Raw genomic sequence first — 26014 nt, forward strand, 5'->3', positions numbered from 1 at the left:
AAGTGATCCTCCCATCTCGGACTCCCAAAGTGCTGGGATTGCAGGTGTGAGCCACTGTGCCCAGCCAAATACTTTTCAATATGGCAGTGTATAACTATTATGGGCAAATCAGAGTATGTAATGAATCTGTATCACCAGATCCTTATCTCTCTTAATGAGCTACAAGAGCAATTTTTTTAACCTTTTATGAGGAAAACATTCAAACATACAAAAGTGAAGAGAACTGTGATTAACTCAATATATCCATCACCTAGCTTCAATAATTATTAATACTAACTGTTATGAACTGAATACCCCCAAAAACATATGTTGAAGTTCTAACCCCAGTACCTCAGAATGTGACCTTATTTGGAAATGTGGTCATTACAGATATAATTAGCTAAGTAAGATGAGGTCATACTGGAGTAGGGTGACCCATTAATTAGCTAATATGACTGTGTCCTTATAAGACAATACACACACAAGGGAAGAATACCATGTGACAATGGAGGCAAAGATTAGAATTACACTGCCACAAGCCAAGGAATGCCTGGTGCTACCAGAGGCTAGAAGAGGCAAAGAAGGATCCTCTTCTAGTGGCTTCAGAGGGAACATGGCCCTGTCAACACCTTGATTTTGGACATCTAGCCTCTAGAACTTACTGTCTCCAGAGACAATAAATTTCTGCTGTTCTAAGCCACCCACTTGATGGTGCTTTGTTATGGCAGCCCTAGGAAACTAATACACTGACCTGGCTTCTTTTATTTCTACACCCCACCCCCAGATATTACACCATTATAGTGATGATATTTAAAATTGGGTTTCTCAAGTGTTTAAAAACCACCTTCCACTGGGCAAGATTTTGATGACATTTACTTTTCAGTCATTTGTATTATAAAACCTGTAAGCTTCAGATTGGGGGGGCTTTTTTTTCCCACCCCTGTCTCAAATCAATTGTAACTATATATACATAAACAGAGATTCTGAAAGGACCTGTCCAGTGAGGGATCATTCCCCTCATCCTAAATGAAGGAAGGGGGAGCACATTAACAATAAAGGTCATGCAGCATTCTTTGTGTACTGGTTTTATCAAAAGTTGAGAGAAAACTTCAACAGGTGAATATGCATAGGTCTATTTAAACCTTACCCTTTAAATTAGGTAGTTCTCCAAGACTACATGCTATTGTGGTTCTCAATCTTTGTTCCACTGGAGAAAACTTAATTAGTGGTGAAAGAGACCGTTTTCTTTCACCGATGGACGTGCGTAAAGATGGCTTTATATGCTCAGTATGCAAATCACAGGTGTCCAAAAAGTTAAGCGTATCATCTGTTTGTACATTTTGGGGAGTAGGGCTCAATTCTGGTTTGTGTCTTTCGGGTGTTTGGGAATTCGAGAGGTAAGATTCTTCCCTTTTCTTGGAAAGAGATTTCTTCAGAGCCTCGTATCTACTGCGAAGAGCCTGTAAATTAAAGTCTGATTCTGGAGTAGTCTGTCTCCCTCCCACAACATCTTCTAGAAGAGTGCCACCATGCATAGGACTATTTGGCTCCAGTTTAAAATTGGCCTCTGAACTACTGGAACTATTAAAACTTAGATGACCAACTTCTTCCGGGAGAGTTTCGTGTAATATGCCAAAATCATTATCTTTAAAACTCTTAGAACTAATTCCACTTGATATCTGAAAAGAATTCCACAACATAGTTTTATTTGTGGAAGGTTTGTTACAAGAAACTTCTAAGTGGTCCAATATTTTCATAAACTCCTCTTCACTGCCACCCATCACATCTATCCTATTGCCGACAGCAGGGGAGAATGTCTCCATTCGGCTAGTTTCTGAAAGCTTGGTGAAGGCTAAACATTCCAAATCTTGCTTGCAAATTACTTTCTTATTTAACAAATCTGACTGATTTTGTGTTGGTGGTTCATCTATGTGACTGGTCAGCACATGTTTCTGAGGCACACACTCGCAATCTGAAATAACTTTCTCTTCAGTCAAATGAGACTGGCCAAAATCTGATACAGTGGTTTCTAAGAGAAAATCAGCCATGCTAAATTCTCTTTGATTGTGCAACACAGGTAATGATTCTGGCAATACTTCTCTATGTTCAGCATCCATTTGAATTGGTTCTTTAGTTCTGTTTTCTTCCATTTCAATAGCTTTTCTCCATGAGCTCCTAATTTCAGTTACTAATTAAAGGGGAGAAAAACACAGTTTACTAACATTCCCAAACATAGAGCATGCAATGAATCATTTTATTTCTAACACTGAAGATAAAGCTCCTGACTCAGTACATGTTCCATAAATATACTGGTTGGATGATAAGCCTCCACAATATAACAAATCCCAACATCGAAGAACCCCATCTCCAACTGCTCGCACAAATAAACACATATAAAGACAGCTGTTCCTGAAATATGCATCCAATTTTACACAGCACATATGAATTACATGTATTAAAAAGACCTTTTCTTGTCCATCTAAGCCACAGTTTGGCAAACATTTTCTATAAGGGCCAGATAGCAATATTTTAGGCTTTGCAGGCCATCCATTCTGTCAACTACTTAACTCTGCCATGATAGCATGAAAGTAGCCATAAACAATGTCAACAAATGAATATGCTTATGTTCAATACAATTTTATATACAAAAACACACAAGGTGGGGCCAAATTTGGTTCATAGGCTATAGTTTGCTGACCTAGGCTGTGGCTCAGTTCAAACTGAATTAAATCAGCAGCAAAACAGAAATTATTTAATTACTCAACCAAGATGATGTGCCTACCTAAGGACACCAATATCAGAACTTTGCCTACACAAATTACAGGTTATAGGAAAAAAGGTATTGGGCAGTTTGACTCATTTGGGAGGGGTAAAGACCTCCGCACACATGGTTTATGGCTGATGCTTCTGGTTGATGACTGGCAGAACACAGCCTATGTACTCTATAAATATGTAGATCACAGGTCAGACCAGGAGGCAAGAGATTTTTTTTTTTAAATGCTCAAATAAGATCTTTCTAGATAAAAGCAAAGTATAACAACAAAGACAAAATTGTACATTATCAAAATTTTATATCTCTGTATATTGAGTACACTGAAGGCACAAAATACTGCTAAAAGACTGTTATGTGAGAATGCCCACACTTAGTACGTCGATTACAACAGCATAAATAAACAGCCTTTGGCAACTCAGCTAAAAAGATCTGTCAGGCCATGGTTCTAACAGTGGTTATGTCGATGAAAGAAAAAAGTAACAGAAAGCATTATTAACTTACTCAAGTTTTCTGGAGTACGGGGAATCTGATTCCTTGTTAAGAAGGGGTTAGAACCCAGAGAGTCAATTAGTTCCTCTAATTTTATTTCTTTTCCTTCAGAGAGCTGTGGTGAATCAGATAAAACTGCTCTGGCAACCTAAAACAGAAAAGAAAAAGTAAAGCAAAGATTACCAAGCCCATTGGTAGAATGCAACAAAACCCCTGATAAGGATAATAAGCACTTCACAGTCAGCAGCCCCTCCCATTGCAGACAACACAAAAATAAGCAACAAAGAAGTTCCCCAACAACTCTGTATAGACCATCCAGGTACAATCCTGTAAAGTGAAATGAAACACTGAAGTATTTCCTCATCTTAAATGGATATCCCATTATAAAGGAGAGAATAGATAAGAATCTTTATGCTGGGAAGATTTAGAGGCAGTTCCAGTTGTGCAGTGACCTAAGCTGCTGTCTGCCACAACTGTGAGCTTGACAGCTCTGTATTCACTAAAATGACTAGTTTTAAAGGAAGCAGACTCTTCTCAATTATAATCAATTTGGACAGTGACATCTCTATTAAGAAACAGAATCATTCTGACAACATACCTCTTCACCAGAAACCTATTATCACATCTTCATTACTGAAAAAAGCATACGTACATTCTAAAACTAAAAAAGTATCCAATATCAAAATAGTGCTCTCTATTAAATATCAATAAAACCGAAAAAGAAAAAACATGCAAATTAAAAACTCTGCCCCCGACATCACTAAAAAATAAACTTCTTGAAGCCATAATTAAATTGACCCAAGAGGCCGGGCATGGTGGCTCACGCCTGTAATCCCAGCACTTTGGGAGGCCGAGACGGTCGGATCACTTCAGGTCAGGAGTTCAAGACCAGCCTGACCAACAACATGGAGAAACCCCATCTCTACTAAAAATACAAAATTAGCTGGGCATGGTGGCGCATGCCTGTAATTCCAGCTACTCGGTAGGCTGCAGCAGGAGAATCGCTTGAACCCGGGAGGCGGAGGCTGCGGTGAGCCAAGATCGTGCCATTGCACCCCAGCCTGGGCAACAAGTGCAAAACTCCGTCTCAAAAAAATAACATAAATAAAATTTAAAAATACAAATAAAATTGGCCCATGGAAAAAAAGGGCTTCTCCCTCAAGAAAACAGAGTGCTTCTGGGAATTAAAACACTAAATATCCCCTGTCATAAACACTCTTAAAGAAAATTAATTTTACTTTCAGAGCTTCATGAAATTTTAAGACTTTCCTCTTCTATCTGATCCCATTGCTAATATAAATTCTTTTAATCAGAAAATGTGTTTTTCCTTTCAAAATTAGGAAAGTAAAAAATACTAACCATCTTTACTTTAGTGTAGAGTCAATGAAGAGAAACAATAGAACTTTAGAGATTTAAAAGTACTTAGGGACCATGAAACTAGACCTCATGTTACAAACAAGAAAAATAACTGACATCCAGTCAGGCATGGTGGCTCATGCCTGTAATCCCAGCACTTTGGGAGGCCAAAGCTAGAAGATCACTTCAGGCTACGGGTTCGAGACCAACCTGGGCAAAAGAGTGAGTTCCCAACTCTACAAAAAATAAAAAACTTAGCCAGGCAAAGTGGTGCACGCCTATAGTCGTAGCTGTTTGGAAGGCTGAGGTGGAAGGATCCCTTGAGCTCAGAAGTTCGAAGTTACAGTGAGCTATAATTACACAACTGCACTCCAGCTTGGGTGACAGAACAAGACCCTGTCTTAAAAGAAAAAAGAAAAGTGTCTGACATCCAGTTCTCTTATTTGGACAATGCTCATTTAGTTTGATCAGGAATGCAATAAAGGAGGGAACTCTAATACCTGAATTAATATCTGCTAAACCAAATTTTTCTTTCAGTGTCTCAGGAATAAAAAGTAACACTGATTTTCTGGCTGCTTAACCAAATTCAAGCAATGCTAAAGCATGTTGTGGAAAACATGTACTAAAAATAACATTAGCAAATAACTTCAGAATTTAGCTTGAGTGAAATGAGTTCTGTAATGCTGAGCAATGGTAGTATTGTGTGGTCACTTACCAGTAAAAAGCAGAATAGTGTTAAGGGAGGGGGCTGGTTAGGAAAATCAAGTTCATGAACAACAATGCATCTAATCACTTCTGAAATATTTTAGACAGCAAAAAGAACAAAACCTATGCTCAGTGATAATGATATGATATTGCAGTGTGTTCTAATATTCAAAAAAAAGAGGAAACTCAGCTAAGCAACAAACAACACTGACAAAAGTATTTTAATATAGTATAAACACTGGGTACATTTATCTAACCATGTAATGGTTAATCTCCAAAATTTCTCAAATGTATCATTTGTATACTTTCAGGTAATGTTTAAAGAATGGGAAGTGGGTTCTAAACCACAGATGTAATATTAGCTAAATAAGTTTATATTAAATCTATTCTCACTTTTGAGGAAGACCAATTTTGCTTTAACCATAATTTTTATTATCTGTAGCCTTCTTTATCCCATATTACCCGAGGTAATCAATAATTAACTGTATTTCGCTTAGGATCCCAACACCATTGAGAAAATATTTGTTTTTGATTTTGTTTTTTGAAACAGGGTCTCAGTCTGTCACTCAGGCTGGAGTGCAGTGATGCAAACACAGCTCACTGCAGCCTCAGTCTCCTGGGCTTTAAGTGATCCTCCACCTCAGCCTCACCAGTAAGTAGCTGGGACTTCAGAGACACGCCCCCATGCTCAACTGTTTTTTTAATTTTTTTGTAGAGATGGGTTTCGCCATGTTGCCCATGCTGGTCTCGAACTTCTGGGCTCAAATGTTCCTCTTGCCGAAACCTCCCCAAGTGTTGGGATTACAGACATGGGCCACTGTGCCCATCCAATAACTGATATTTAAGTATACTCATTACAGTCTTTTCTCACCTCTTCTACCAGATGATCTTGCTCTTTTTGAAATGGATCACTTTTTTTAGCTGGCAAAGACCCTCCAAATGCACTACTCTCTGTATTCTTTGCAACATCTGATAATGGAGAATTTTCCACTTCAAATTCTGGTATTTTCTTAGAAATTGCTTCATTTTTTTCTTTGGGAGTTCCCATCTTTGTGTCCTGAAGAAGACAGATATGTAATGTTAAACCCTTAATAATCATGGCTGATCCTGAAGCTGTCTTCATTAGCAGTTCACTGGTTATCATGAACCTATAAAAGGTTGTTAATACTATTGTGAAATTGTATGTCACTGGCAGAATTAACTAATTCCAATATTCCCACTTAGCAATAAGGAATATAAGTAGATATGGTACAAAATGTACAAATAGTAGAAAATGTGAAATTAGAAATTAAATTTAACTGTGGTATCAACAAAAATAAATAATATTTTATAATTTAGTATGGTCCAGAATTAATTGAGACTTATTTTAAAATATACCTTTTCAAGTACTGTAACACTGTTTCTATCTGATGATGAAACTGACTGCGACAAGAAAGAGGCAGGGCTAAAAGGAAAAAAGACAACAAATCCAAGTTATAAGGAGAAAAGAATTCCATTCCCTTTACGAGTCTATTCTAAAATCTGTCTGCCCCGTATCTGTCCGTTACGATTTCACTCAATTCGTCCCGGTCATCAAAAGGCAGTTTATTCTAGGGAGGCATGGTGACAAGTAGAGCAGTATTTCAGCCCAATTTGTGTATCAGCCTCCCAATTATGAAGACTTTACTTACCACATACTGAGTCAACAATATTTTGATTTGAAAGAGTTAAGTGACTTAATGAATACTCCACAACTTGAACACAGGTTAAAAACAGATTCAATTAACTAGAACTGCATTATTACAATGTCACAGGTTCCAAATCACAGTTTCTTTGTAGCAGATCCTTTATTTTATTTTTTTTTTTTTTGAGACGGAGTTTCGCTCTTGTTGCCCAGGCTAGAGTGCAATGGCGCGATCTTGGCTCACCACGACCTCCGCCTCCCAGGTTCAAGCGATTCTCCTGCCTCAGCCTCCTGAGTAGCTGGAATTACAGGCATGCGCCACAACACCTGAGTAATTTTGTCTTTTTAGTAGAGATGGGCTTTCTCCATGTGAGTCAGGCTGGTCTCAAACTCCCGACCTCAGGTGATCCGCCCACCTTGGCCTCCCAAAGTCCTAGGATTACAGGTGTGAGCCACCACACCTGGCCCAGCAGACTTATTTTTAAGATTCTCTTGATACTTCATATCCAAAATCAATTTCTCATATGCTAAATTTTACTCTATAGCAAACATGTTACAGTTTCACAGTAATGTCATAAGGTCAGAGTTTTAGTTTGCCACATTCTGTTGTATTTGTTAATCTTTTGTATTCCCTTGCCCTTTTGGATAAATATTAAAATTTATGCAGCTTTTCATGCTAATTATAAAATGTTATTAAATTCTAAAATCTTCAAAGAAATGGTAACTTTTTTACTTTGGTCTTAAAAACCTTTAAAAGTTAAAAGCCTAAAGCTTTTCTACTCTAGTTACTATAAGACAGGATTATCAAAGACTGCTTTCAACAGCATGCATGTTGGTACTTTCCTTTCTTCTTATAACTAGAAGTACAAAATTAATAGCACTGCAAATATTTTATATCATAGTAAATGTAATTTTCAAACTTTTTCAAATATGCACTCTTAGAGTCTTTGCCTACGTTCCAAACATAATTCAAAATCACTGCAATCACTCAAGCTTCAACGTAGCATTGACAAAATATAATCCAGATATCAAAGGCAAAGAATTGATCATCTACTAGATTTTGAGGGAAACTTAACATTAAAATTATCAAAAAGCCCCCTGAAACAGAGCCAGCAATCTATGGACCAATGCCACTAAGGTGCCACCACCACAAGAAGGTAAGGACAAAGGCTATGTCTTTCCCTAAGGCTATTCCCAGAGGCTAACACAGTGGTTGGTAGTGCAATACATACATGTTAACTATTTGATGGATTGATGGAATCGATGAGTAAATGCCACTTGAGAATGGGGTTCTATAGGTGACAAGTGTTTCCATTTGAATGATTCTTGTGGAACCTTATAGCAGAGAACAATGGAAACATTCTGTACCCTCCCCTCTCTCATTTCTGAACTGGCAACATGCTATTAAACCTGCTAACATCATAATCTAAGACAAGTTTAAAGCAGCCCTGGCTCAGTCTTTATACTTCGTCCATTTGCCATGCCAAGATTGAGGCCTATGAAATCCTAGCACTGTAACAAAACAGAAGGATGGTGATCCCCTTGTGGAAATTTATCCTAAGGGAAGAACAGAGAGAAAAAAGAGGAACACACTTTTTATAGTAGTAAAAAATAAAATTGAGAGAAAATTCAAGTCTACAAATAAATGTAGTGTTACAAAGCTATTATCAATGAAAATTGGTTAATATGTTATTTAAACATACAGACAGCCAAAAAAAAATCACAACCGTTTATACTATGTTAATGTTTTAAAATTTTGGGCTGGGCGCGGTGGCTCACGCCTGTAATCCCACCACTTTGGGAGGCTGAGGCAAGCGGATCACCTGAGGTCAGGAGTTGAAGACCAGCCTCGCCAACATGATGAAACCCCATATCTACTAAAAATACAAAAATTAGCCAGGTGTGGTCATGGGCGCCTGTAATCCCAGCTACTCGGGAGGCTGAAGCAAGAGAATCGCTTGAACCCAGGAGGCAGCAGTTGCAGTGAGCCGAGATCGTGCCATTGCACTCCAGCCTGGGCAACAGGAACGAAACTCCGCCTCAAAAATAAATTAATGAATAAAATTTTGTACTTTAGAATTCTGCATTTTAAAATTTGTATTTAGATTGTATCCATCCTTTGATCACAGCCAAAAATTTTTTTTTTTTTTTTTTGAGACAGACTCTCACTCTGTCGCCCACACTGGAGTGCAGTGGCGGGATCCTGGCTCACTGCAACCTCCGCCTCCTGGGTTCAAGCACTTCTCCTGCCCCAGCCTCCTGAGTAGCTGGAATTACAGGTGCCGACCACCACACCTGGCTAATTTTTGTAGTTTTAATAGGGACAGGGTTTCACCATGTTGGCCAGGCTGTTCTCAAACTCCTGACCTCAGGTGATCTGCCTGCCTCAGCATCCCAAAGTGCTGGGATTACAGGCATGAGCCACCATGCCCAGCTAGAGCTAAATTTATATATCGTGGTATACAAAGCCTAGATAAGAACTTGGCGGGGCGGGGGAGGGAGTTACAAGTGATTCCTTAAAAACTTTAACCAATTATTTCTCATTTTTATTTGTTGCTGTTGTTATACCAATAATTAGGAGAAAAATAAAAATAGAAACTATAAAAAGAGAAAGATATGAGACTAGAATTCAATTTCTAACACAAATGACATTTAGCTGGCACGTATGCAAGATCATACTGCCCTCCTTATCTTTGAAATGTGGTATAGGAGAAAACATAGAAGTTAGATGTCTAGAACAACAGCATCATTACCGTTAGAAATATCATGGAACTCCCCCCCACACACACAAACACAAAAAGCCATTGCAAAGAATGCTAATGCTCACAGTGTACAGCAAAGGCATCACCAATTGCTGAATTCTGGTTTTAAGTATAATGCAGCCTCTCGCTCTGATCAGAACCAGAAATGGAAGCCAGGCAAGGTGGCTCACGTCTGAAACCCTAGCATTTTGGGAGGTCGGGGTGGGAGGATCACCTGAGCTCAGAAGTTTGAGACCAGCCTGGGCAACATAGTGAGACCTCATCTCTACAAAAAAAAAAAAAAAAAAAAAATTTAATTAGCTGGGTGTGGAGGTGCATGCCTGCACTCCTAGCTACTTGGGTAGCTGAGATGGGAGGATCACTTGAGCCCAGGAGATCAAGGCTGCAGTGAGCTATGACTGCACCACTGCACTCCTGCCTGGGTAGCAGAGCAAGTCCCTTCTCAAAAAAAAAAAAAGCCAGCAATGAGATTTATGGAAAAGACTACATATCTTTTGGTATCCATGAATGACAACTGCATGTGATAGGGCTGATAACACTCTCTAAAAACTACATTCTTTCCATGCTTTTTTAGTTGAATAGTTATATTGATCATATCCACATATGAATTTCCCAGTTAACTACATTATTACTGATAAAAGATGATGTATTGCAGATAAAATAGTGTAATTGCTGAACTACATGCAAAAAAGGTATTATCTTCTTTCATTAAGTACAGTCCACCTATGTTACATATTACTGATGGAACATGTAACTACATATACCTTTAACAGTGAAGAATTCTGAGCAGACTACTTCCACGTCCCAGAAACTTAGCTTTTCACAGGCCTTCTGTTTTATTCTGATATCTAGCAATGATAATCTTTTATATCCCATTAACCATTTATCCCTCACCACCAGGCCTTCCCCTACCTCCCTTCAGTATTTCAAATCTATAATTAAAATAATCAGAATATAACTAAAAGATTCAGGAGCTTAGAAGAAGACAGATGTGGAAATCAAAGTATATCTAATAGACCTTCTTTTTCCTATATTAAGAGTTTCCATTTGAACTAAATTCTTAGGGGTTGAGTTTCTGGCTCTTACAGAATTCTGATAGTATCTTGGTACAAAATTCTTCAAAAAGAATTTTGTTTTTCTTTTTCAGATAGAGTTTCACTCTTGTTGTCCAGGCTGGAGTGCAATGGTGCAACCTCGGCTCGCCGCAACCTCCGCCACCTGGGTTCAAGCAATTCTCCTGTCTCAGCCTCCCAAGTAAGTAGTTGGGATTATAAGCATGCGCCACCACACCCAGCTAATTTTTTGTATTTTAAGTAGAGACGGGGTTTCACCATGTTGGTCAGGCTAGTCTCGAACTCCTGACCTCAGGTGAGCCACCCACCTCAGCCTCCTAAAGTGCTGGGATTACAGGCATGAGCCACCGCACCTGGCCCCCCAAAAAAAAAAGTTATCTTGAGGTTTAATGGGGTTCATGAATAAAATCTGCTATATATATTAATCTAGTATCCCTATCAATCTTTAGTCCAGCAAAACACCTTAATCAAAATATTTAGTTTGCTCCCTCAAGGAAGACAAATCGAAAACATAACTGAGTTTGGGAAGCACCAACCATACCCTCCCCTAGCCTGCCATAAAAAGAACTGTGATATGAGTGTAAAATGGGTAGGCCAGTAACTTTACTATCTCTTAACACCAGGTCCTCAGAGAAGATTTCATTATTTTTCTTTAGGCACTCAAAAAATTAACATCAAATCCAGATAGACTAAAATATGGTTCTTCCACAACTAGTCCTGACTGCCTGTGAACTAGATTACAGGTCCTCAGAGAAGATTTCATTATTTTTCTTTAGGCACTCAAAAAATTAACATCAAATCCAGATAGACTAAAATATGGTTCTTCCACAACTAGTCCTGACTGCCTGTGAACTAGATTACTGCAGAACCAATTACCAATAACTCAATTTTACAAAAAAAGTTTTAACTCTGGTTAGTGTTACAGCTTATTAACTTACTAAGATGGCATAGAATGATGAGTGCTTCATTTAAAATTTAGGATTTTCCTTTATAATTTTCCTAAGTATTTTATTTTCATCTGTCCCTCATCTACTTGGGGAAGTTGTAATGAAAGACACCTATTTAGGTTAAAAAACAATTAAAAAAAAAAAAACTAATAAAGGAAAGTTTCGTGTTTGATTGCTACTTAATAATGTTTAATTTCAATGAAGAACTAATATGTTCCCCAATCGGATTACATACATTTAGTTCACAGATTTTTTGCTCATATAATCTGTAATTAGTCCAAAATGGGATAATAGAGAAAAAAAAAGGCAATAAAGAAAATAGGAATATTACTGGAGGAAGTTAGAACAAAATCCAGTTTTTTCATATGTTAAATCTGGTGGTTATAGTAAATCAGAAGTTGTCCAATTTTTTTTTAAGCATGGAACTCTTCTTATCGAATAGTTTACCAAACACCACAATATATAACATATATAAAAGAGCAAGTTGCCCAAGGCTAAAGTGGGAAAAGGCTGGACCAGCCACGGGTTATGTTAGATACATCCACAGCACCAAATGGCACTATAGGATGTAGTCTGAAAACTATCTGGACAAGATGATCTCAAAGGCCCCCAAACACTTGAACTTAGTTTCAAAAAAGTTCACATACATAAAAAGGCAAAAACTCTCAAATTTGCATTAGATAATTTCCAAATAATCCCCATGAAACTCAATATTTAGATAAAGAATAGAAGAGGAAAAAATGCCCATGTATCATAAATGTTGGATCTTTTCTGAAAATGTGGGTCTATGGTAGAAAAATATTGTCCAGTTAAAAGGGCAAAATTGGCCGGGTGCGGTGGCTCACATCTGTAATCACAGCACTTTGGGAGGCCAAGGCGGGTAGATCACCTGAGATCAGGAGTTCGAGACCAGCCTGGCCAACATGGTGAAACCTCATCTCTACTAAAAATACAAAAATTACCCAAGTGTGGTGGCAGGCGCTTGTAATGCCAGCTACTTAGGAGGTAGCCTGAACCCAGGAGGGGAACTATTTGAACCCAGGAGGCGGGGATGTTGCAGTGAGCCAAAATCGTGCCATTGCACTCCAGCCTAGGAAACAAGAGCAAGACTCCATTTCAAAAAAAAACAAAAGGCAAAATTATGCACTATCCCAGAGTAAATAAGATTGGAAACTGGTTTAAGATGGGAATAAAATTAATATATAAAAAAATCAATATAAAAATCAAATTTGGGTCAGGCACAGGAGGTTATGACCATAATCCCAGCACTTTGGGAGGCCCCGGCAGGAGGATCACTTGAGGCCAAGAGTTAAAGACTAGCCTCTGCAACCCAGAAAGACCACACCTTTTGTTTTTCCTTTTAGTACAGACAGGGTCTTGCTATGCCTGTACTGGTCTAGAACTCCTGGGCTCAAGCGATCTTCCCACCTCAGCCTCCCAAAGTGCTAGGATTACAGGAGTGAGCCACTACATCCAGTGATTGGTGCGTTTTTACAATCCTCTTGTAATACAGAAAAGTTCTCCAACTCCCCAACAGACCCAGAAGTCCAGCTGGCTTCACCTCTCAGTTCCATCTCTATTTTTTATAAAATAAGAGTTTTTTAATGTTTAACAAAAGAAAATCAAATTTGTTTTACCTGTTGGCTAGATCATGTAGCGCTCCCAAGGTATCACTGTCTCCTCTGCAACCATTTTCTTGGTTATGTTGCTTATGTGCATCTAAAGAAATTTAAAAATTGGTTACTCTTTAATTATGTTTGTACATTCTAACATTCAAGGATTCCTTGAAATTCGAGAACAACTTGTAAACAGAAGAAAACAGAAAAACCAAAATATGAACACTAATAGGAAAACATAATTATTCAATTGATAAGTATAAAGTGATGAGCAGAAAAGTAATAGAGAACATCTAGCTTTTATAAAAGAAATGATGGCTAATACTAAAACAAGTTACTCAAAGACTAAGAATCCATAATTCCCCAGTGTTATATGCTTCATGTTTACATACACAGATCATGAGATTATCACAAAAGCCAGCAAGGCCAAAAAGTTACAGTCTTAGCATATTTCAGTGCACATTTATGGTATCAGTCAACCTATATATTTATTCTTCAACCTATGACTGAATAACTACATGCTACTACCATACCAACAATGGAAGAAAGAAATGAAAGATGGAAATGTTGCCTCCGAAGAGTCAGTCTAGGAAAGGATAGTGATGAGTCAAGTGTTATGTTATACTTCTACAGTATTATGACAGAAGTATATACAGAATTTAAGGAGGCAGAGGACAGACATCCAGCCCAGACTGCAGAGTGGGAAGAAGGCATGAAGGTACTGAGAGAACGAGGTACAAGTTGCTATGATGGAGCACAGGGTACATCCAGTGGAAGCATGGTGGGAAATAAGATTGGTAGAGAAAGCCATGACTGGATTACAGAAGATCTGATATTCCAAGGGCTCGACCTCTTTCATCATGTTACCTTCTGAAAGGCTTTCCCCATTTGTACATGTCCAAGTGGAACAGAAGCCATAATGAAAGATGACACCATGAAAAACAGGCAGTTACAGAAAAGAAGTAAGGATTACAGAGGTAAAAAGTATATACCTATGACTACTAAATACTAGACAGACAGGTCAAAAAGCAGATTAAACATAACTAAAAGATAAATCAGTGAGTTATAGGAGGTATCTAAAGAAAATACCTAGAATGAAGCCATGAGATACAAAAAAGTTGTAAATATGAATGAGAAGTTAAAAGATATGAAAGACAGAATTAGAAGTCCCAACAATAGGAGTTTCAGAAGGAAAGGATCAAAAGAATAAGAGATAAAGTAATATTTTAAGAGATATTGGTGAATAAGTTTCTAAACTGAAGATATGAGCTTTCAGAATAAATAAGCACACACAAATCCCAAATAGGCTAAATAAAACAAAACTACATTTAGATATATCCCAGTGAACCTGCATAATACAAAAGAAAAATATTTTCTTTTTTTTTTTTTTTTTTTGAGACAGGGTCTTGCTTTGTCACCCAGGCTGACTGCAGTACCACAATCATGGCTCACTACAGCCTCGACTTCCTGGGCTCAAGCGATCCTCCCACCTCAGCCTCAAAAGTAACTGGGGCCACAGGTGCATGACACCATGCCCAGCTAATTTTTTGTGTTTTTTTATAGAGACAGGGTTTCACTTTATTGCCCAGGTTGGTCTCCTAGGCTCAAGCAATCCTCCTGCCTCAGGCTCCCAAAGTGCTGGGATTACAGGCGTGAGCCACCACGCCCAGCCAAAGAAAAACCTTAAAAGCAACCAGAAATCAAAAATTAACTAACTATAAATGGGCCGAGCCCAGTGGCTCATGCCTGTAATCCCAACACTTTGGGAGGCCAAGGTGGGCGGATCACCTAAGGTCAGGAGTTTGAGACCAGCCTGGCCCCGTCTCTACTAAAAATACAAAAATCAGCTGGGCATGGTGGCACATGCCTGTAATCCCAGCTACTTGGAAGCTTGAACTAGGGGAAGCGCTTGAACCCAAGAGGCAGAGGTTGCAGTGAGTGGAAATCATGCCATTGCACTCCAGCCTGGGCAACAACAGTGAAACTCCCTCTCAAAAAAAAAAAAGAAAAGAAAAATTAACTAACTACAAATGGGCCAGGTACGATGACTAACACCTGTAATCTCAGCACTTTGGGAGGCCAAGGCGGGCAGATCACTTGAGGTCAGTAGTTCAAGACCAACCTGTTCAACATGGTGAAACCCCGTCTCTACTAAAAATACAAAAATTAGCCAGGTGTGATGGCACACGCCAGGAATCCCAGCTACATGGGAAGCTTAGGCAGAAGAATTGCTTGAACCCGGGAGGCAGAGGTTGCAGTGAGCTGAGATTGTGCCACTACACTCAAGCCTGGGTAATAAAGACTCTGTCTCAAAAAAAAAAAAAAATTAACTACAAATGAATGACAAGTAGACCAAGAGCAAACAGCCTCAAAAACAACAGAAAACAACGAGATTATATCATGGAAGTCTGAAAGACAAATAAATGTCAATCTAGAATTCTATATCCAACTAAACTATCATTCAAAAATGAGTGCAAATGAAGACATTTTCAAAGAAAGAACGAGAATTTTACTATTCAGAGTCCAAGAACTAAGCATATACTTTGAGATACACTTCTCAAAAGGAGAAGAACAAAAGAATAGACCAAAAAAGTCATTAATCGTGTTGCTCAATTTAAACATAGTAATTGTTAAAAACAATTTCTATCAATGTCATTAAAAAAAGACAGGCATTATTCTAGAATAAAAGTTACTAAGAAAATAAAACAATCACATGTAATGAACTAACCCTCCCTGGATCCTTGTTTGAAAAATACAAACATTAACAAAGAACCTTTTGGAAGATAATAAAAAATTTTCATTTATAAACTTTAAAAAAGAGGAAGAACAATATTACATATTGTTTATAGGTCTATACATATGTAATAAATTTATTTTATAAACATACATCAGAATAAAGATTAGATTCAGAATAGTGATTACCTCTGTGAAATCAGTAAGGAAGGTGAAGAAAGGTGGATATCCAAGGATTAACTACATATGTACCTTTTAAAAAACCTAAAGTGAATATTGCAAACCTTTGCCAAAAAAAGGTGTTTAATAAACAAGTATTTATAATATTATTCTCTGTACTTTTAAATATGCTGAAATATAATTCTAAAAAACATTTTTAAAGTAAATTAAGTAAGATGCAATATGTAAGGTATAGGAAGGCGGAAAAGGTTGTTTTACCACAAAAAATATAATGTTGAAGTAGCCCAGCTCAGATCAAGGTTCTATACTAGGAAAAAAAAAAAGGACTCCCAAGAGTACAACTTCCAACTGGACTTCCTAAACGGACACATTTTCCCTCAGTATAAAGGCAAGTAGAGAAACCTCCAAATGGACATGAGAATTTCATAGATTCGAAGGGGTAAACTAATCCTGGCAAGAGTGCAAAAGCCCTTTCCCAACTGAAATGAAAACACAACACAACCCTAAGAGCTCTGTTGACTAGTGGATCTCCAAAAAAAAAAAAAAGAGAGAAATAATTCAAAAATAAAAAATAAAAATAAAAGAGATAAAAACAAAGCCAAGAGCTATCAAAAGAATTCTACCATAATTAAGGACTGTCCAAAGCCACCATGGAACCAGGATGCTCTATCTGAAGCTCCCCCTCATTTATCAAACAATGCAGCCTTTTATTTTTTTAAGAGACAGGGTCTCATGCTCACTTCAGCTGCACATATATTAAAATTGGAACAATACAGAGATTAACATGGCCCCTGAGCATGCATAACACTAATTTTTAATTTAAAATAAAAGTTTAAGTTAAAATTTAAGAAAAAGGGCCAGGTACGGTGGCTCACACCTGTAATCCCAGCACTTTGGGAGGCTAGGCAGGCGGAATGGCTGAGCTCAGGAGTTTGAGACCAGCCTGGGCAACACGGTGAAACCCTGTCTCTACTAAAATATAAAAAATTAGCCAGGCATGGCAGAGTGTGCCTGTAATCCCAGCTACTGGGGAGGCTGAGGCAGGAGAATTGCTTGAACCCGGGAGGCGAAGGTTGCAATGAGCCGAGATCGCACCACTGCACTCCAACCTGGATGACAGTGAGATTCTGTCTCAAAAAAAAATCAAAAAAATTTAAGAAAAAGAGAAAGAAGAGAGAGAGGGTCTTACTCTGTTGTCCAGGCTAGAGCATTGTGCAGTGGAGCAGTAATAGATCATTGCAGCCTTGAACTCCCGGGCTCAAATGATTCTCCTGCCTCAGCCTCCTGAATAGCTAGGACTACAGACACACACCACCAGGCCTGGCTAATTTTTCATTTTTTTGTAGAGAATGGGTCTCACTATGTTGTCCAGGCTGGTCTCGAACTCCTGGGCTTAAGCAATCTTCCACCCTAGGCTTCCCAAAGTGCCAGGATTATAGGTGTGAGCTGCTATGCCCAGCCCTATGCAGACTTTTCTATGTCTTCTCTTCTGGTTGCACCTAAACTGAGCCTTGCTCTCTGGTCTATAATCTTTCCCAACCAGTGTCCTCCCCAAATACACCTGACTCTCAAACCAATTACCTATCCCAGTGATTAAGTCCTGTGCTAACTGCTGTCATGACCTTTCACCTAACTGAACTACAGCCTACAACTATTACCTGCTCCAGTTTGGCTATAAAATTTGTTTTTTATTCATTCATTCCTTATCTATCCTCTATTTACAGAACCTAATTGTCTTGTACACATGTGCTAATTAACACAGGTTAATTATTGTACTATTCTTTCATGTTAAAAAAAATTGTGAGCTTCCACAAAAAACCTGTACAGAATGTTTATAGAAGCATTACTCATAATAGTCAAAAGGTGAAAACAACCCAAATGTCCATCAACAGATGAATGGATAAACAAAATGTGGTAGAGGATACAATGGCATGTATTCATAGAAAAGGAATGTAATACTGACTGATACATGCCACAACTTAGATGAACTTTGAAAACGCTATGCTAAGTGAAAGAAGCCAGTCACAAAAGTCTATATATGATATGATTCCATCCATATGAAAATCCAGAACAGGGAAATCTGGAGACAGAAAATATCTTCATAATTGCTTTGAACTGGAGAAGTGAAGGGGGATTGGGGGGTGATAGCTAAAGGGTATGAGGTTTCTTTTTCAAGTGATGAAAATGTTTACAATTGTGATGATGGTTGCACATATTTGTGAATTTAGCAAAAAGCAAGAAATTGTACATTTTCAATGGGTGAATTGTATATGTGAATTATATCTCAACAAATCTGATTTTTAAAAATTGAACGCTGATACATGCTACAAGATGTAAAAAACTTGAAAATACTGCACATGTGGTGCCTCACACCTATAATCCCAGCACTTTGGGAGGCCAAGGAAGGAGAATTGCTTGGAATCAGTTTGAGAAAACATTGTGCAAAGTTAAAAACAGTGCAAGTGAAAGAAGCCAGAAACAACAGGACTCATATTATATGACTTCATTTATATGAAATATCCAGAACAGACAAATACATAGAGATAAGAAGTACATTAATGGGCCAGGCACAGTGGCTCACACCTATAATCCCAGCACTTTGGGAGGCCAAGGCGGGCGGATCATTCGAGGTCAGGAGCTCAAGACCAGCCTGGCCAACATGGTGAAACTCCGTCTCTACTAAAAATACAAAAAAAATTAGCCAGGTGTGGTGGCGCATACCTGTGATCCCAGCTCCTCAGGAGGCTGAGGCAAGATGGTTAATTGCTTGAACCCAAGGTAGAGGTTGCAGTGAGCTGAGATTGCGCCACTGCACTCCAGCCTGGGCAACAGAGCAAGACTCCATCTCGGAAAAAAAAAAAAAAAAAAACACAAGTACATTACTGGCTGCCAGGGACTAGCGGGGAAAATGGAAGTGACTGATTAGTGGGTTAGAGGGTTTTTTTGAGATGATGAAAATATTCTGGGGGCTGGGCTCAGTGGCTCATGCCTGTAATCCCAGCACTTTGGGAGGCTGAGACGGGTCAATCATTTGAGCCCAGGAGTTCAAGATCAGCCCGGGCAACATGGTGAAATCCCATTTCTACAAAAAAAAAAAAATATAAAAATTAGACGGGTGTGGTGTCCCAGCCACATGAGAGGCTGAGGTGGGAGGATCACTTGAGCCTGGGGTGGTCAAGGCTACAGTGAGCTGAGATTGTTCGACTGCACTCCAGCTTGGGCAACAAAGTGAGACCCTGTCTCAAAAAAAAATAAAAGAAAAAGTTCAAGAACTAGATAGTGATGATGACTGCACAACATTGTAAATGTACTAAATGCCACTGAGTTATATACTTTGCAATAACTGAAATTGTGAATTTTATGTTACATGCATTTCACCACAATAAAAAAAAATGGAGGAAAAAGATAAGGAATTTAAAGAACTATTATTATAATGAAAAAGAATGACAGGAAGGAGGTTTCAAAGAGAAAAAAATAAATAAATAACCAACCTGGAAGTGAAGCAGGATACTGACAAAGAATACTCTTTGCATACACTTCTTCTGAGGCAGGATCAAACGAAAGGGGAGACATTGGTGGTAAAAGATCTACAGACTTAAAACAGAAAATTCACAATTTTGAAGTAAACATATTTGCTAACTACCACAATAACAATACTGAGTTAATCTATGAATAGATTATCTTCTCAATAAGAAAGTCAGAATTACCAAGAATGTATCAGATAACTATTTTTATTTATTTATTTTTCTTAAAGACAGGGTCTCAGTCCCTCGCCTAGGCTAAAGAGCAGTGACATTATCATAGCTCACTGCAGCCTCAAACTCCTGGACTTAAGCAGTCCTCCCACTTCAGCCTCTCGAGTAGCTAGGCCTGCAGAGACACACCACAACACCCAGTTTTGGGGGTTGTTTTTGGTAGAGATAAGGTCTCACCATGTTGTCCAGGCTGGTCTCCAATTCCTGGCCTCAAATGATCCTCCTGCCTCTGCCTCCCAAAACAGTGGGATGACATGTGTGAGCCACCACGCCCAGCCCTATAACTATTTTTAAAGCAGAGTACAACATTAGGAGCAAGGGGGATTACTTAGTCCTTGAATTTCTCAAACATCATAGTACCTCACATCAAGAGGAGTCTTGTTTTCTGGCTGGGCACAGTGGCTCACGCCCATAATCCCAGCACTTTGGGAGGCAGAGGCAGGTGGATCACCTGAAGTCAGGTATTCGAGACCAGCCTGGCCAACGTGGTAAAACCCCATCTCTACTGAAAATAGAAAAATTAGCCGAGCGTGGTGGCGGGCACCTTTAGTCCCGGCTACTTGGGAGGCCGAGGCAGTAGAACCACTTGAACCTCGAAGGCAGAGGCTGCAGTGAGCTGAGATCGTGCCACTGCACTCCAGCCTGGGCAATAGAGCAAGACTCTGTCTCAAAAAATAATAATAATAATTGTTTTCTTTTTCATACAATCCTTCGAATCTAAAAATATTAACTCTAAATAACAGCAACTTATGGATATTATATTATATATACATTTAGAAAAATTACAGAAACCATAACATAGAAACTTTAGACTCAAATGAAAGATGACATACATACAACATTTCTAGGTCATTTGTAACACAATAAATTCACAAATTGCCATATATGAAACTATTCTCCAAAAGGCAAATTGGCTGAGTGTAGTGGCTCATGCCTGTAATCCCAGTACTTTGGGGAGGCCGAGGCAGGAAGATCCCTTGAGCCCAGGAGTTTGAGACCAGCCTTGGCAATATAGGGAGACCCTATCTATAAAATTAAAGAAAAAATTAGCCAGGCTTGGTGGTGCAAACCTGTAGTCCCAGCTACTCAGAAGGCTGAGGTGGGAGGATTGCTTGAGCCCGGAAGTTCAAGGTTACAACAAGCTATGATCATGCCACCGTACTCCAGCCAGCTATGATCGTGCCACTGTACTCCAGCCAGCTATGATCGTGCCACTCTACTCCAGCCTGGGCAACAGAGCAAGACACTGTCTCAAAAAAAAAAAAAAAGGTGGGTGGCGGGGAGGGCAGGGGCAAGTCAACATTACTTACTGGAGTCCAACCTTTAATTAGACTGAAAGGAGACAAACCAAGAAATTCTTTCCACTTTTTATGCCATTCTCCTTGCTTTTCAACAACAGAATGTCTTATAGTTGTGAGATCATCTTTTATTCTATACCTATAATAGCATAAAAAAACTTTATTCAAAAGATGATACAAAAAAAGCACTGAGTAAAATTTAAGAAAATAACAATAGTTGTAGAGAAGTGGAAGGAAATAGAAGTGAAAGTTCAATCAATATACCACATATAAATTAAATAAACTCTCACAGGTGAATATTCAGAACCTAAAATACCTTTCTCTTTTTATGACCATAAAGAAGGCCGGGGGCAGTGTCTCATGCCTGTAATCCCAGCAGTTTGGGAGGCCAAGGCAGGTGGATCACCTGAGGTCAGGAGTTCAAGACCAGCCTGGCCAATGTGGTGAAACCTCATCTCTATGAAAAATACAAAAATTAGCCGGGCGTAGGGGTGGGTGCCTGTAATTTCAGCTACTAAGGAGGCTGAGGTAGGAGAATCGCTTGAACCCAGGAGGCAGAGGTTGCAGTGAGCCGAGATCGTGCCATTGCACTCCATGCACTCCAGCCTGGGAGACAAGAGTAAAACTCCGTCTCAAAAATAAAAAATAAATAAATAAATAAATAATTTTAAAAAATTAGTTTAAAAAAAAAAAAAAAAGACCAGAAAGAGGCCGGGTATGGTGGCTCACACCTATAATCCCAGAACTTTGGGAGGCTGAGGCAGGTGGATCACATGAGGTCAGGAGTTCAAGACCAGCCTGACCAAAATGGTGAAACCCTGTCTCTACTGAAAAATAATAATAATACAAAATTGGCTGGACATGGTGGCATGCACCTGTAATCCCAGCTACTCAACAAGCTGAGGCAGGAGAATCACTTGAAATCAGGAGGCAGACGTTGCAGAAAGCCGAGATTGCGCTATTGTGCTCCAGCCTAGGCAAAAAGAGGGAAATGCCGTCTCAAAAAAAAAAAAAAAAATACACGAAACAATAATACATCTATTACTCCATTTTATTATTTTTTTTTCTTTTTTTTTTTTTATTGAGATGGAGTCTCACTCTGTCACCCAGGCTGGAGGAGTGCAATGGTGCAATCTCAGCTCACTGCAACCTCTGCCTCCCAGGTTCAAGTGATTCTCCTGCCTCTGCCTACTAAGTAGCTGGGATTACAGGCGCACGCCACCACGCCTGGCTAATTGTGTCTTTTTGGTAGGGACGCAGTTTCCCCATATTGGCCAGAATGGTCTTGAACTTCTGACCTGAGGTGATCCACCTGCCTCAGTCTCCCAAAGTGCTGGGATTACAAGTGTGAGCCACCATGCCCAGCTACTCCATTTATTTTTAAGATAGAAGTTTTTCCTTGCTCTAAACTTGAGTAGAACTTTCACTCCCACTCTCTGTCCATTCCTATAAGCAGCCCATACTTTCTATTCTTTCTGGTTAATAAAAAAACTGTTCGAAAGGCTGAGGCAGGCGGATCACCTGAGGTCAGGAGTTCAAGACCAGCCTGGCCAACATGGTGAAACCCCATCCCTACTAAAAATACAAAAATTAGCCAGGCGTGATGGCGCGTGCCTGTAATCTCAGCTACTCGGGAGTCTGAGGCAGGAGAATCGCATGAACCCGGGAGATCACACCATTGCACTCTAGCCTGGGCAACAGAGCAAGACTCTGTCTCAAAAAAAAAAGGGGCCTGGCTTGGTGGCTCACGCCTGTAATCCCAGCACTTTGGGAGGCCGAGGCAGGTGGATCATCTGAGGTCGGGAGTTCGAGACCAGCCTGACCAACATGGAGAAAACCCATCTCTACTAAAAATACAAAATTAGCCAGGCGTGGTGGCACATGCCTGTAATCGCAGCTACTCAAGAGGCTGAGGCAGGAGAATCACTTGAACTCAGGAGGCAGGGGTTGTGGTGAGCCAAGATCGCGCCATTGCACTCTAGCCTGGGCAACGAGAGCGAAACTCCGTCTCAAAAAAAAAAAAAAAAAAAAAAAAACTTTCCTAAGGTTTTAAGATTAGACCCAACAAAAGAAAACTACAGAAAAGCTAAAATTATTTCACAAAAAAATTATTCAGGGCAAATCATTTATTCCATTAATTTTCCTTTTCCTTTCTGCTTCATGTATATCTCCAAGAGTTGATTATGTAAGATTTTTGAGTATTAGAATTCTCATACTTGTTTGCCAAAGCTGAAGAGCTATTAAACTTATACAAGTTTTGTTGAGAAAACCACCCTACTCCTCCCACAGTAAAATAACAGATCTTTTTAGTGTACCTCATATGTTTCAGATCTGATAATCTTTCCTTCTGAAATTTGGTCTCTTTTTCAAGGTAGTGAAGGTCTACCGTCAATCTTGCTTGATCAGCCTGACAACGTTCATATTTCATCACCTTCAAGACTTCATTTAATAACTGAATAACTGTTAAGAGGTTCAGTTTTCCAGCCTCATAAACATTTCCTATGTGCAACTAAGGAATCAGGAGGAGAAAAAAATTGGTGAACTATAGGTTGTTACAACAAACTATTACATAAAAATATTTATGTTTTTTACTATTAAAGTTTACCTTAAAGAAGAGGGAAAGGCCAGACGCAACGGCTCACACCTGTAATCCCAGCACTCTGGGAGTTGGGGGTGGTGGGGGCGGATCACCTGAGGTCGGGAGTTCGAGACCAGCCTGACCAACATGGAGAAACCCTGTCTCTACTAAAAATACAAAATTAGCTGGGCGTGGTGGCACATGCCTGTAATCACAGCTACTCCAGAGGCTGAGGCAGGAGAATCGCTTGAACCCAAGAGGCAGAGGTTGCAGTGAGCCGAGATTGTGCCATTGTACTCCAGCCTGGGCAATAAGAGTGAAACTCCATCTCAAACAAACAAACAAAAAAAAAAGCGGGGGGAAAAAAATCAAATACCCCCAAACATAAAATGACGTAAATAATTTTGGCCCAGTGAAAACTACTAGGAAAGAGTAACATGCCTTGCTACATTTTTTGCTACATTTTTATATTACACAAAAGGTTGAAAACTAGAATAAAAGAAATGTTAATAGATGGAAAGAAAAATAAAGATTGAGCAGAAACAGCAGGTTTAGTGAAAAGACCATAAATTCATTTTTTAACAGAAGTTACAAATCAATGACCCCTAAAGGCTGTATCTGTACTTAAATATGTTTCTTTGGCTTGCACATTTCTATGTCTTAAAATCATTTGAATTAGTTGCCAATTTTTTAATTTTAATTTTAATTTTTTTTTTTGAGGCAGAATCCCACTCTGTCTCCCAGGCTGGGTGCAGTGGCTCAATCTTGGCTCATTGCAGCCTCCGACCCAAGCATTCAAGCGATCCTCCCACCTCAGCCTCCCAAGTAGCTGGGACTACAGATGTGCACCACCATGCCCAGCTAATTTTTGTATTTTTAGTAGAGACAGGGTTTCATCATGTTGGCCAGGCTGGTCTCAATACCTGACCGCAAGTGATCTACCCTCCTCAGCTTCCCAAAGTGTTGGGATTATAGGTGTGAGCCACCATACCCAGACAGTTTCCAATACTTTTTAAATCATAGATTTCACACAAAAATTATGGGCCAGGCACACTGGCTCACGCCTGTAATCCCAGCACTTTGGGGGCCGAGGCAAGAGGATCATTTGAGGTCAGGAGCTCTAAGCCGGCCTGGCCAACATGGTGAAACCCCGTCTCTACTAAAGAAGTGTCTCTCTTCAGAGAGTCACAACAATATTTTATCTTTGTATCTCTCCAGTATATAATAGATGCTTGATGAATTGTGTTTTCTAAGAAAACAAAAAAGTAAGCTATCCAGATAATGTCCCATAAGCAAGTGGAAATAACTGGATGGAGTTTGGGTTGATGAGGAGAGACTGCTGAAGTCATGAAATTGGTAAGAAAATACAAATACATTTATAATGACGGAAAGAAAAAGAGGGCATTAAAAGAACCATGGAGAACATTATTTAATGTTGCTTTACAAGCAACACTTAACAGCATCAAGATAAAACACAAACCAGGGGATGGAGACTTTTTAAAAGGACATTTGGCAATTAGGAGATCACTGTTGTTGCCTTTGAGAATTTATAATGAACTAGTACAGTATCATCTTCCTACTAAGAAACTTCATACTGTCTGTACTATATGATGTAGTACTGTACAGGTAAGGGGCAATTAATAAAAGTGAATATAAATATACACACCTTTAACAGTATCACTCCTTATGAAAGTTTTACTAAACACACTCATAGAAATAAATTCTGGCCGGGTGCGGTGGCTCACGCCTGTAATCCCAGCACTTTGGGAGGCCAAGGTGGGTGGATCACCTGAGGTCAGGAGCTCGAGACCAGCCTGACCAACATGGAGAAACCCCGTCTACTAAAAATACAAAATTAGCTGGGTGTGGTGGCACATGCCTGTAATCCCAGCTACTCGGGAGGCTGAGGCAGGAGAATCTCTTGAACCTGGGAGGCGGAGGTTGCAGTGAGCTGAAACCACGCCACGCCATTGCACTCCAGCCTGGGCAATAAGAGCAAAATTCTGTCTCAAAAAAAAAACAAAAAACAAAAAACAAAAAACAAATTCTGAAAGCAGAAGAACATTGCAAGAAAATATACAATTACATGATAGGAGTTTTCTCAAAA

General features: G+C 39.2%; 1 protein-coding gene, 1 non-coding gene and 1 pseudogene across 5 annotated transcripts in view; 1 reads left to right on the top strand and 2 right to left on the bottom strand.

Moving 5' to 3' along the window:
* HAUS6 (HAUS augmin like complex subunit 6) overlaps nt 1–26014 on the bottom strand; it is a 49764-nt gene that overhangs the window by 3694 nt on the left and 20056 nt on the right. For 2 of the 4 annotated variants that reach the window (NM_017645.5, XM_047423518.1), the window contains 8 exons: nt 23645–23838; nt 21342–21468; nt 19768–19870; nt 13385–13466; nt 6680–6746; nt 6174–6359; nt 3254–3389; nt 1127–2167 (listed from right to left, as the gene is read on the bottom strand). In NM_017645.5, coding sequence (NP_060115.3) covers nt 1127–2167; nt 3254–3389; nt 6174–6359; nt 6680–6746; nt 13385–13466; nt 19768–19870; nt 21342–21468; nt 23645–23838 — 1936 coding nt within the window. Of the gene's footprint in view, nt 1–1126; nt 2168–3253; nt 3390–6173; nt 6360–6679; nt 6747–8197; nt 8789–13384; nt 13467–19767; nt 19871–21341; nt 21469–23644; nt 23839–26014 lie in introns of those variants that run through there. The other 2 variants (NM_001270890.2, XM_011517935.3) reach the window with 2 other exon arrangements.
* On the bottom strand, nt 6822–6952 carry SCARNA8 (small Cajal body-specific RNA 8). The gene has a single exon (NR_003009.1).
* On the top strand, nt 17009–17112 carry RNU6-264P (RNA, U6 small nuclear 264, pseudogene; annotated as a pseudogene).

Source organism: Homo sapiens, chromosome 9, assembly GCF_000001405.40.
Source record: "Homo sapiens chromosome 9, GRCh38.p14 Primary Assembly".
NCBI lineage: Eukaryota > Metazoa > Chordata > Mammalia > Primates > Hominidae > Homo > Homo sapiens.